The sequence below is a fragment of the Homo sapiens genome, chromosome 5, assembly GCF_000001405.40.
Source record: "Homo sapiens chromosome 5, GRCh38.p14 Primary Assembly".
In the NCBI taxonomy this organism is placed as follows: Eukaryota; Metazoa; Chordata; class Mammalia; order Primates; family Hominidae; genus Homo; species Homo sapiens.
This window is the reverse complement of record NC_000005.10, coordinates 146,558,201-146,572,065: the sequence shown is the minus strand read 5'-3', so window position 1 is coordinate 146,572,065 and position 13,865 is coordinate 146,558,201. Positions and strand designations below refer to the sequence as shown.

General features: G+C 41.2%; 1 long non-coding RNA gene across 2 annotated transcripts in view, besides 1 other annotated feature; it reads right to left on the bottom strand.

Annotated features, from left to right (window-relative positions):
- The window catches only part of PPP2R2B-AS2 (PPP2R2B antisense RNA 2), a 59,059-nt gene extending 50,219 nt beyond the window's left edge, over positions 1 to 8,840 (bottom strand). For both annotated transcript variants that reach the window (NR_188288.1, NR_188289.1), the window contains exon 1: positions 8,595 to 8,840. This is a non-coding gene — a long non-coding RNA (PPP2R2B antisense RNA 2). The remainder of the gene's footprint in view (positions 1 to 8,594) is intronic.
- Positions 11,236 to 11,891: an enhancer, noted in NCBI's record as "OCT4-NANOG hESC enhancer chr5:145939738-145940393 (GRCh37/hg19 assembly coordinates)". NCBI's record gives its function as "activates a minimal SCP1, AML or CMV promoter by ChIP-STARR-seq in primed H9 embryonic stem cells {active_cell/tissue: H9 hESC(primed)}" and the evidence as "EXISTENCE:reporter gene assay evidence [ECO:0000049][PMID:30033119]".

The window sequence follows — 13,865 nt, the reverse complement described above, 5'->3', positions numbered from 1 at the left end:
CAAAGCTCGCAGAAGACAAGAAATAACCAGGATCAGAGCAGAACTGAAGGAGATAGGGACACAAAAAAACCTTCAAAAACTCAATAAATCCAGGAGTTGGGTTTTTGAAAAAATTAATAAAATATATAGACTTCTGGCTAGATTAATAGAGAAGAATCAAATAGACACAAAAAATGATAAAGAGGATATCACCACTGAACCCACAGAAATATAAACCACCATCAGAGAATTCTATAAACACACCTGTGCAAATAAACTACAAAATCTAAAAGAAATGGATAAATTACTAGACACATACACCCTCCCAAGACTGAACCAGGAAGAAGTTGAATCCCTGAATAGACCAATAATAAGTTCTGAAATTGAGGCAGTAATAAATAGCCTACCAACCAAAGAAAGCCCAGGACCAGATGGATTTACAGCTGAATTCTATCAAAGGTACAAAGAGGAGCTGGTACCATTTCTTCTGAAACTATTCCAAAAAATTGAAAAGGAAGGAGTCCTCCCTAAGTCATTTTATGAGGCCTGCATCATCCTGATATTCAAACCTGGCAGAGATACAACAACAACAAAAAAGAGAACTTCAGACCAATATCCCTGATGAACATCGATGCAAAAATCCTAAATAAAATACTGGCAAACCGAATCCAGCAGCACATAAAAAAGCTTATCCACCATGATCGAGTTGGCTTCATCCTTGGGATGCAAGACTGATTCAATATATGCAAGTCAATAAACATAATTAATCACATAAACAGAACTAAGGACAAAAACCACATGCTTATCTCAATAAACGCAGAAAAGGCCTTCTATAAAATTCAACATCCCTTCATGTTAAACACTCTTAATAAACTAGGTATTGAAGGAACATACCTCATAATAATGAGAGCCATTTATGACAAATCCACAGCCAATATCATAATGAATGGGCAAAAGCTGGAAGCATTCCCCCTTTAAAGCCAGCACAAGACAGGAATACTTTCTTTTTTCTTCAAAAATATAATTAGTGTATTGCTAGCAATATTCCATACTTCCCCAATTCTTAACCCACATGGTACAAATACTATTACAACTTCCCTGAAAAACTACTCTGTACCTTCCTCTGAGATAAATAGAGATGCCATCGCTTTGTTAAGAAAGCCTCCCTAGTTATTCTACAGCTGTCTATGAACTGCCTGGAGCAGTGGTTTTCTAACTTGAGTGTGTGTTGGAATCACCTAGACGGCTTGATAAAAGATTGGTTGGTCCCACTTCCAGAGTTTCTGATTCACTAGTTCTGGGGTGGAACCTGATAATTTGGATTTCTAACTAGTTCCCAGGTGATTCTGATACGGTTGTTTTAGGGACCACACTCTGGCTAATGACTTACTCTAGCTAGAGGTCTTGCTCTAGGCTAGTGGTATTCAGTGAAGCAAAAGGAAGCCTATCTTCACTAACCTATACTTTATACCACTCTGATCCATTCTTTACACCATGGGTCCCCAAGCCTCTGGGCCATGGACCAGTACTGGTCTGTGGCCTATTAGGAATCAGGCCACACAGCAGGAGGTGAGCAGTGGGCAAGCAAGCATTACCGCCTGCACTCCACCTCCTATCAGATCAGCAGAGGCATCAGATTCTCATAGGAGTAAGATTGTGAACTGTGCATGCGAGGGATCTAGGTTGCATGTTCCTTATGAGAATCTAATGCCTGATGATCTGAGTTGGAACAGTTTCATCCTGAAACCATTGCCCCACGCAATTCGCATGGAAAAATAATCTTCCACGAAACTGAACCCTAGTACCAAAAAGGTTGGGGACCACTCCTTTACACTGCATCTACAGTTACTTTCCTAAATATGAGTTGAAAAAGGTTACTTTCTTCCTCAAAAAGCTCCAATGACACCTTATTGCTCATAAATTTCCAAAATCTTAAAATCTTTAGTCTCACATTCTAGCTCTCTTACAGTCTGATTCCAAGTTTCCCATTGTTTCCCCCCACATGCCCTGTTACCTGTCCTGCAAATACTTGCTATACCCAGCCAAGCTATATTCATTTATGCTTTAGGACTTTGCTCATGCTGTTTCTTAAACTTGTAGCATCCTTTCCTCCTTCCCCATTTACTGAAATCAATGAAATCAGAATCACTATGACTGATCCTGACTGCAAGTAAGAAGACCCTTAAAAAAATTAAAAAATAAAGAAGACCCTGACTCCACTGGCTTGCACAATACTGAAAATTATTACACCACAGAATAAAAAGTCTGGAGATAAGATGGCTCCAGAGATGGCTAATTTGGCAACTCAAAGACACTGTCAGAGACAAAAGTTATTTTCAAGGTATCAATCTGATATCCTCAGTACATGCTCTTGTTCTCAGGCTAATTCTCATTAAGGTCACAAAGGCTTTAGCAGTTTGAAATATCACATCCAGTCAAAAACACATCTAGCAGGAGAAGCAGGAACTTCTTGAAAGCCTCTTTTTGTCTATTAAAAAAAACCCAGCAACGATCCCATCCTATTTCCTTGGCCAATTTGTGTTGCATTCCCACTCCTAAATCAGGCACTGAAAAGAGGATTGAAATTATCATGATGACTTAGACCAGGTGTATTAGTCTGTTCTCATGCTGCTATAAAGAACTGCCCAAGACTGGGTAATTTATAAAGAAAAGAGGTTTGACTGACTCACAGTTCTGCATGGCTAGGGAGGCCCTCAGGAAACTTACAATCATGGTGGAAGGGGAAACAAGCACATCTCACTTCAATGAAGGCAGGTGAGAGAGAATGTGAGCACATGGGAAAGAGCAGGGAAAACTGCCTTATAAAACTATCAGATCTCATGAGAACTCACTCACTATCATGAGAACAGCATGAGGGGAACCACCCCCATGATCCAATCATCTCCCACAAGGGTGTAATCCCTCAACACCTGGGGATTACAATTCAAGATGAGATTTGGGTAGGGACACAAAGCCTAACCATATCACCAGAGGTCAAAAAACTTTTCCTGTAAAAGGCTAGATGGTAAATATTTTAGTTTGTGTGGGCCATATGGGCTCTGCCACAACTGCTTAACTCTCCCTGTGTAGCACGAAAATAGCCATCAATAATACATAAACCACTGGGTGACTTGTTCCAATAAAATTCATTTGCAAAAACACGTGGCAGACTGCTTGGCCCAGTCAGCCACCCCATGGTTTAGGCCAAACAGGATCAATCTTTGAGTCATGCTGGAGAAACACAGATTCCGCCACCCCACCCCCAACCCCAGAAACATCAGAGTTCTTCCAGGAAAGAAGCAGAAAATGGCTTTTAGAAAGGCAACCAGCAGCATCAGTGGGGACATCCTTCAAGCCCTAGTTCAAATGCAACAAATGGAGGCTTTTCTAACTCATTTCAGACTGAATTATACTTTCCCAGTAAATTGTTTAGATCTCCATTTGGAGTTATTGTAATGTAGCCAGCTGACACAACTGTCTCCTTGAATAAAGAACAAGTTTCTTCAGGGCAAGGTCTGTGTTACACATCTTTGCATTGTTTCCCTTTACCCCCACCCGGCACTATATGGAGCATATAAAATTATTAAATATTAATGTAATTAAAACAATACAAATATATAATCCGTGAAATAGTCTTCAAATGCTTGGTTTCTTTGCCATTGACCTTAATCTACCAACAGTTCATACTTCACAAATTTCACAATCCACCTGCATCCAGAAGTTTCAGTTTGATTCACAGTCCCACATAGTCCAGCAGAGATCTGTTTGCACAATTAAGAAAGGTCATTCTGTCATGGCTATCTATATATACCTCTGTATTCATTTTCTATGCCATGTAACAAATTACTGCAAATTTAGTGGCTTTAAACAACACAGACTTATTATCTCACAGTTTCCCTGGGTCAGGAGTCTGAGTAAAGATTAGCTAAGTCCTCTGCTCACAAGGTTGCTAGATCTGGGGTCTTCTTCCAAGCTAACATGGAACTTGATAACCCATTTTCTTGCACTTATAGAGCTCATGAAGTCTGTATCTTCCAGGTCAACAGGAAAGTTTCTCTCTCACACTTTGACTCCCTTTTGACTTCAGGAAGGGCTCAGTCCCTTTTAAGGGCTCACTTGATTAGGTCTGGTTCATCCAGAATAATGCCATTTTTTGTTAACTCAAAGTCAACTGGTTAGTACCCTAAACACAGAAGTAATATCCCATCATGTTCACAGGTCCCACCCACACTCAAGAGGAAGGGAATGCAGATGCAGAGGGGAGGGCATACACCAAGGCACCAGGAAATCTGGGAGCCATCTCAGAATTTTGCCTCCCACGGCCAGGTGCAGTGGCTCACACCTGTAACTCCAGCACTTTGGGAGGCCAAGGCAGGTGGATCACTTGAGGCCAGGAGACCAGCCTGGGCAACACAGCAAGAAGACCCTTTCTCTACAAAAAAAAAAAAAGACACACACACAAAAGAATTTTACCTATCATAATTTCTATTATAATGCCTAACCCCACAATATTGACACCTACATATTTAAATATTTGTCCTCCTACTGAAAAGTGGTCATTTTACCTCCATGTCCTCAGTGCCAAACAACCAAAAGATATTCCATAAACACCAAACGGACAAACAAACAAATGGATAAATTTGGCCTTATTATCTCTCAGTAGAGGCTTTTTCTTCACCTTCTTGATTTAAAACCTTCTGGAAAAAGTAAATGGGCCAGGCGCGGTAGCTCACACCTGTAATCCTAGCACTTTGGGAGACCGAGGCAGGCAGCTCACTTGAGGTCAGGAGTTGGAGACCCGCCTGGACAACATGGTGAAATCCCATCTCTACTAAAAACACAAAAATTAGCTGGGCGTGGTGGCTCATGTCTCTAATCCCAGCTACTCAGGAGGCTGAGGCAGGAGAATCGCTTGAACCCAGGAGGTGGAGGTTGCACTGAGCTGAGATTGTGCCACTGCACTCCAACCTGGGTGACAAAGCAATGCTCTGTCTCAAAAAAAGAAAAAGTAAATGATGCATTTGATTACACATAAAGAATACATAGGAAAACTGAGGAAGGAAACAAATCCATAAGCAAAATTCTAATGACATGTGGACAAAGCTGGCTTCAGAGGATTACGAACTCTAAATAGTAAATATTATTCAGATATTAGTTAAATCAGAATCAGGATTGCTAAAAGATTTGACATATGAGCTTTGACACTTGTGCTTGACCATATCTTATGTTTGATCACAGTACTTTATTACTGTCATTATTATTATTATTCAAAGCTTGCTCTGCTATAATGTCCTGTGGTCCGAGGAGAGGCAAAACTATTTCTCTCTTGTTCACTACTGCACCCTCAGTGTTAGCCCAGTATCTGGATGCTACTGAGTGCTCCACAAAATAGTTGCTGAGTGAGTTACCAAAACTCTAAGAAATGATTATGCTCATTTTGAAGCTAAGGGAACTGATGCTCAGAGAAGCCAATGTCTTGCCTAAGGACACACAAATAGAGAGAAAAGATTCCAACCTGAAGTTCCACACTTATTTTTTCAGATGGAGTCTCACTCTGTGGCCCAGACTGGAGTACAGTGGCACAATCTCAGCTAACTGCAACCTCCACCTCTCAGGTTCAAGCGATTCTCCTGCCTCAGCCTCCTAAGTAGCTGAGATTACAGGTGTGCGCCACCATGCCCAACTAATTTTTGTATTTTTAGTAGAGACAGGGTTTTGCCTTGTTGACCAGGCTGGTCCCAAACTCCTGACCTCAGGTGACCTGCCTGCCTCAGCCTCCCAAAGTGCTGGGATTACAGGTGTGAGTCACCATGCCCAGTTTGAAGTCCACACTCTTGATCACTCATCTCTAATGGCTTACAGTTCATCCATGCAATTACCATATCACAGTAACTTTCTGCATTTTTAAGCTGGACTTGAATTGGCCTAAGTCTCTTAAACCAAAGCCTTTCCATTAGTGTACCCCTGCACCAGGCATCACAAGTCTTTTAATGACATGTTTTCAGAAGAAATAGAATCAGTAGTGCTGAAAACCTCCCTACGTAGACCCATTTTCCGGTGTTCACTCGGCTCACCCCTTAACAGTGTTTCCCCCGCCCCAACAAGGACACACCCCTGGCTGCCATGTTTTTATTCTTTGCCCCCACCTAGTGGCCATAGCTGCATAGACAAGAGTATTATGAAAGACCGTTGAGCAAAGCCTGAATCACACTTGCAGGCTAAAAGATCACTGTTCAGTTTGGTCTGGTTTCTTGTGGAGGGGTGCGGATCTGAGCATGAGGGGTAAGTGATCCACATTTGCTGCGTAAACTGCAGTCATGCCTGCTTACAAGCCATCTGTTACCAGTCCACGAGGAATTAAGGACAGATACTGAGAGTAAGGAAGCACTTAGGAACCTTTATAGCACTTCAACAGAATAATTTTATGTCTGTGGAATCTAATAATAAAAAAATCAGGACTTATTTTATTTCATTTTAGTATAACTCATTTTTACTGTGTGTTAGCACAGATAGTTTGAAAAATGCTGGATTTTAGAGAGGCAAAAGTGGATCTGCAGAGCGAAAAGGCAGAAACAGATGTTTGTGAAAGAATTCCTATTTCCAACCCATTCCTGGGGCCTGATGACATCCATTCCCTTCAGTTCCTAAAAACATTCCTGAGTCCTTACAATGAACACCTCTTTTTTTGCTTAAGTTTGCTCAGTGAATTTTATGGGCCTTGAAACTAGAGTCCTAATGAATATACTTACACCAATCTCTGACAGGGGCGGAGGGGAAAGCCCCACTGGTCTTCATCCTAGTTTCCCCAAGAAGTTCTTCTAAACTGAGATTCCACCTCAAACCAATCCAAAACAATGATTACCTTTTCATTCTCATCCTTGTCTAGACCCTCAATTCTAAAATAAAAGGTTTTTTTAATATTGGAATCATGGAGAAGAAAGAAAAGTTACTGAAACAGATAAGGGAGTTAGTCAATAATTATGTATGGAGAGCATACTCAGTGCTCTCCCTGAGTGGGCAAGTATGAGCAGATGCACAAAGGCTTGCCATATGATGCTTGTATCATAGTGGGAGGGGAGAAACAACAAACATTTTAAATAAGATAGTTTCAGAGAGTGATACATGCAAGGAAGTAAATCATATATGACAAGGAAACACAGACCAGCCACTCAAAACTACTAGATAAGACAAGGAGAAAGGTGAGGCAGAGAAGACAGCCTCATACTTATAATCAATACCATTTATTAAGGGGTTAACTCTGTGCCAGGCACTGCTAAGTATTTTAAATACCCTCACAACAAACCTATGAGATGACGTTATCATCCCCATTTTTTAGATGGACAAATAAGTTCCAAGAGGTTTCTAACTTGCCCAAGATAAGAGCTGGGGAGACATGAAGGCAGAGCATGAATCCAAATGCATCTTACTACAAAGCTTATACCCTTAACCACCTATAAAGAATAACAAAACAATAAGGTGAGTCTTTCTTTTGGTCACCCAGAAGAGTCTGACTCAGACATTGTTGCTTCCTGGCACAAAGGACAATGAAATCCTTTCAAATACATGTGCTCTTCTGAAAATCAAATGCAAGGGCCTCCTGCTCAGTGAGGCCAGCCTGTATTTCTTAGTAGAAACAGAGTAGCCAACTGCTCAGGGCACATAAAAGCTATTTTAGGAGAAACCATCTCAGAATGGAAAAAGAAAGAAGGTTGAATCTTATGACATGATTTCCCCAAACACTGGTGGGGAATTGTTGTAAAATGTCTCATAAAATCCCATCATATGTACAAATGGCATGGACTTAAACAAGCTGAACAACGATTGAGTGAGTCATTGAACATTTGGGCTGGATTTCCAACAGCCAGGAGAGCCCCAGGCACAGTTCTTTGTTTACAGGTGCTAAACAATCCATCACAACCCCTCCTTTTAAGCTCTGTCCTCCCTCTCCCTAGGCCTACCTCTCTTGTCCTCCCTCTCATTCCCTTGATAGGTTAGTCTATGTGTTTTCTAATAACAGTTTCAGGTGACCGAAGTCATCTATCTTTCTGGACCTTATTTATAGGTAGGCAGATTCTAAATTTAGGCCTCTATAAGCAGCTCCAGGCAGACTGCTTGACATCCAAGCAATGAACAAAGATGAATGCAAGAGCACTGGGTGACTTAAGGTGTGCAGTAGATTTATGGAATGGTGGCTGTAGTCCAATTAAAAGAAATAAAACTTCCATTCTAATGCTACTACCCTAGAATTCACAAAATCTAAAATAACTGTTATTGACTTTACCTATACGTTGTCTATGAAATAAAAGTATCCTAGATCAATTAACATTTTCAAGTACTTTAGTAAAACTAACTCCCTGAAATTACATACATTCATCAAAGAGTTATATTTAGCCAGGTTTCACTAATAATAATATTAAGTGCCCAATAAACATCAGCATGTATCAGATCTCATCAGACTAAGTTTTACCACAAGCCTGTGGCATAGATACCATTATAACCACTTTAAAAAAAAAAAGGGAAGAAAACTGAGCCTTGGCGATTAAGTTTGCTGTCCAAGGGTACAAAAACCAGGCAGACACATGATTCAAATCTGAATTCAGAACCATCAAGCATACCTCAAAGACTGGAGCACCAGGCAAGGAAGCCGCAGAAGAAGTTGCTATGAAGGGGAGAGCATTCAATCAATGAGATGTCTTCAGAGTTCTCTTACATTAGATAAGGTCTCTATATTGGGTAGAACTCTACAAATGGTTTGATATTCTCTTAAATTCCCCCATACATACACACACTTCATTCAATATCCCCTAATGTCTAAGAATGTGGGCTTTAGAGTTGGATGGTCCCAGCTTCTGCCACTTTACAGGCTGTGTGGCCTTTAGCAAATTATTTAACCTCTCTAAGACTCATTGCCCTCATCATCTATCAAATGGCAATAACAATTGAACCTGACTCCTAGAATTGTTGTGAAGATTAAACGAAACAGTATACATAAAGAACTTAGAACATGGTAAGAATTCAATAAATCATAGTTATTCAAATGGCTGGCTTCTCTGATTCTTATCACCAGCTGAGTATGGCAAAATATCAGGACCTACTATGTAGTGTTTCATTTTGACAGGTGCAAGATTCCTTTATTCAAGTCAATAAAAACAACAGTAAGAGCAACAGCAGCAACACCAGCTAGTTTACTTTTTATTGAGCATATATCTGCCAGGTCCTGTAAGACATCTCTTAAAATCTTCCTAAGAAGTCTGTTTCCCATTTTACAAATATAGAAAGTTAGCCTGAAAGATGTTAAGCAGCTTGCACAGCTCATGCAACCAAAGAGGGCAGAATCAAGATCCTGAGCCTAGAGCTCCTAACCAGCATGCCTCACATAACCAGGATGCTACGCGTAACCAGCACACTACACGTAACCAGCATGCCACACATAACCAGCATGCTACACATAACCAGCATGCTACACGTAACCAGCATGCTACACATAACCAACATGTTATTCAATGAAACACTAGTCCCATGAGAGAATCTTCAGGGCAAAGGGGAAGGGGAAGCTCTGTGGTCATAGGAATAGGAGAATGCCCTTGCCAGGAGCATCACAATGGACACTAGCATAATAATGGCTCCAAGAAGTCTTTCCATATTCCCTATAGGGACTAGCACAGGTTTGAGCACTCAGTAGGCTACCAATAAAAAGCTCTAAATAATGCCATCCCTGCTCAAAAATATTCAGCCCACAAAACAGAGAACATAAGAAGAGAAAGCCCAGAGCATAGAAAAGATGAGAGGCTCATGGAGAGACATAGCTAATGAGAAAATCCTCAAGGCAGAAAAAGGCTGATATATTATGTGAGCCGAAATTGCCAAATTTTTCTAGATTTGAGGGTAGCCAAAACCTAAAACCCATAAAACACCTAGGAGCCATCCTCAGTTTCCCTCACTCCATTCTTGCCCACACTGAATCCATGGGCGGATTCTCTCTGTACACATAAGACCTGGCCACCAAATTCCAGAGCCTCCAGAAAAACTCGTGACCCCATCTATTTATTGCCATCATGCCACTGATAACTACACTGGTCCAAGCCACCGTCATCTCTCACCTTAACCACTGCAGAAGCCTCCAACTGCCCTTCCCGCTCCCATTCCTCCCCACAACTACAACCTAGTCCACACACAGCAACTAGAGTGACCTTCCCACCACCACCATAAACCAAAATATGTCAAGCATCCACATAAAATCCTCCAGCTGTACTTAGAATACAATCCAAATTTCTTATTATGAACTCTTAGCTCTGGACTGCACACTTCTCTAATCATCTCACACCACGCTTTCCTGCCACACTCTCTCCTTTCATGTTTGTTGAATGACCCGGTCTCTTTATCCTACCACGCTTGAACTCACAGCTCCCTTGCCTGGAACACTCTTTCCCCAGATCTTCACGTGACTGGCTCTTTCTTTACCTTCACTGTCATATCCTCGGAAGGGCCCTCCCTGACCACCCATCCTACCCATCTTCCATGGCATCATCACCCTCACAGCACCCACCGGTACCTGAAATGTCCCGTGTGCCTGCGTTTCATCATTCCCACTGGAATGCAGGCTTCACGAGAGCAGGGGCTTCCCTCTGGTTCACAACTGCTCCTCCATAGCACATAGTAGGAGTTCAAGGAGTATCTACTGAGTGAATAGATGGTTAGATGGTTCCTGGGTTAGTGCTTCTTTGAGCAAATGGAGTAAAGGGGTCACATCTAGTGGGAGGAAGGGAGACAGGGAGGCGGAGCAGTATCTGCCAGACCAGGCCTCCAGGAGAACCATCTACAGCACAGAGCCCTCCAGAGACACACACCCCTCACCCAGGAATCCTCAGAAACTCTGAAGAACAGTTCAGTGTCCCTCCCACAAACTGTGGCATTAAAAAATAGGCAGCTTTATGAGGTTAGGGGACTCAGAGTTATGCAATCTAGATTATCAAATTCACTCTTCACAACTTGCCACTGAAGTCAGAATAATCCCTAAATCACAAAATGAAGAAAGTCAGGCTTGGAGAGCTTGAGTCACTGCCTAGGGTAGAATCTGTGCCCTCCCACCAGATTCAGAATATTAGAATCTGTCTGCCAACCATTCTAATATTCATCTTGTGCCTCTTGCCATCTCAATTGCCCACTTTTATTATAATCTAGGGCTGTAAAAAATACTTCATTGAGGAGTCAACTGAGAGAAAAATATATTTTTCACACATATCAAACTCAAGTTGATGTCAGAATTAAGAAGAAACTTAGAAGTACTGTGTTTACAGATTTATTTCACTCTTTTCCACCTCTATGCTTGATGGGGGGTAAGGCTGGGGAAAAAACATCCCTAAGAGAAGGTCTGGGACTCTTGCATTCCAATGAGATCACCACAGAGGAACTGGCACCGAATTCCAGAGCCACTAGGGACTATGCTGGATTGGAATTTATAACCTTTAGTTTTCCTGGCTCCTCTTAATGTGATTTTTCCCTGCAATGATATCTGTGAATGATGAATAATTGACATAATATTCAACACGTATGAAGATAGATGTGTTCACAAGGCTCTCAATCTATCCATTTTAATGCTTCCTTTGCCCACATCCCTGATGGGCCTAGAGATGAATGGGGGAGGGGAGGTCCTGCAGAGCCTGGGAATGAAGACGATAGAACAGCCTCATATTATAGTGTTTTCAGTATTGGTTTGGGGTGGGGGAGAAGAGCTTTGGTTCAGCAGCACCTTGTTAAGACTCTGTGGGGAGCCACTAGTCAGGCAGAGAGGCAGATCCCAGTGATGAATGGACTTCTCAGACCTTTTTTTCTTAGTGCCTTTTCTCAGCCATAAGATGACTGAAAAAAATACAGATTCAGAAACACACAAAAAGATACACAGAGATACATACATTCATATATGAATACATGCACACATACAGAAATAAAGACACACACACACACACACACACACACACACACACACACACACACGCAATGTGAGCCTGGCAAAAGCCTGCTTAATTTTTAAAAGGTCTGCTAATTTTAGAAGGCTGCTTCCTGTTTAGGTTAAAAAAAAAAAAAAAAAGTAAAATGACCTCCAGGACAAGTTTTGTCTTTAGAATAAGAAAGATAGGGAGAATCTACTAAATTGTGGGGATATGGTATTTTCAGTGAATCTTGGGTAAATGTGAATAAATTTCCCAAAACTAAGTTTTGATGAATACTGGTAAGACCTCTTTTAATTCTCAGACATTGGCCAGGCATGGTGGCTCACACTTATAATTCTAGCACTTTGGGAGGCCGAGGTGGGTGGATTGCCTGAGCTCAGGAGTTTGAGACCAGCCTGGACAACATGGTGAAACCCCATCTCTACTAAAATACAAAAAATTGGCCAGGCGTGGCAGCGCACGCCTGTAGTCCCAGCTTCGGGAGGTTGAGGCAGGAGAATTGCTTGAACCTGGGAGGCAGAGGTTGCAGTGAGCCGAGACTGTGCCACTACACTCCAGCCTGGGCGACAGAGTGAGACTTCATCTCAAAAAATAAAGAAAAAGGAAAATAATTCTCAGACATTATAAGAACAAACCAAAGACAAGCATGTATTATGTTAGGAAATTTCTCAGCTTGTTTTTATAACTAGAATCCCTTTTAACTCATTTGGTTAATAGCAATGGGAGGTGAGAAGTTAGCAGTGAGACTCATACATATGAATACAAGATGTTGAGGTTACTATTACAATAATTATTCTGTTCTATAAACTTTAACATTTCTAGTATACCTATAAAATCCATTCCCCCAAGTGGCCAATAGAACTCCAATTACATGTTGGTAACTATTATACAATGTTGCCACTTGGCATTCTATGATCTTGAACTTCTCAATCAGTCTCAAGGTGATCAAATTGCCTATCTTTTAAAATAATGATGAATGTGATATAGAGTCATCGAATACAATTCCAAAATATTAAGAATCTTAGTCATTAGGAGAGAATTGACAGATAACACAAACTGAACTCTTATTTGTGCCAGACACTGTGCTCACAGATTTTCCTTCATTGTCCCATATAACCCTTACACGACACCATGAAGGTACTATTAACCTTACTTTACAAATGAAAAAAGTGAAGATAAGAAATATTAAACTGTCCTGTATTAGATAAGTGGCAGAACAGAGTTAGATCTTGCTCCCCGTCTTATTCTATTTTCTGTGCTGTAATTGAATACCCAAGACTGAGTAATTTAAAAACTTATAAAGAAAAGAAATTTATTTTTTACAGTTCTGGAGGCTGGGAAGTCCAAGAGCATAGTGCTGGCATCTGGTGAGGACCTTCTACTTGCATTATAACATGGCAGAGGACATCACAGGACAAGAGGGCAAGAGCATGTGTGTCAACTCAGGTCCCTCTTCTTCTTCTTATAAAGCCACTAGGTCCATAATGGGGAGCTCCACCCTGATGAACTTATTTAATCCTAATTACCTCCCAAAGGCCCTACCTTCAATCAGCATAAGAATTTGAGGGTTAAGTTTCCAATACATAAAATTTGGAGGACTCATTCAAACCATAGAGCTCCCCTGCCCACTGACATTCTGACAGTAAATGCTCTTAACAAGTACATGATTGTGTATAAAATGTCTAAGTGATTGATATGGTTTGGCCATGTCCCCACACAAATCTCATCTTGAATTGTAACTCCCACAGCTCCCATGTGTCATGGGAGGAACCTGGTGGGGGGTGATTAAATTATGGGCACAGGACTTTCTTGCACTGTTCTCATGATAGTGAATGAGTCTCACAAGATCTGATGGTGTTAAAAATGGTAGTTTCCCTGCATAAGCTCTCTCTTCTCTTGTCTGCTGCCATGTGAGACATGGCTTTCACCTTCTGC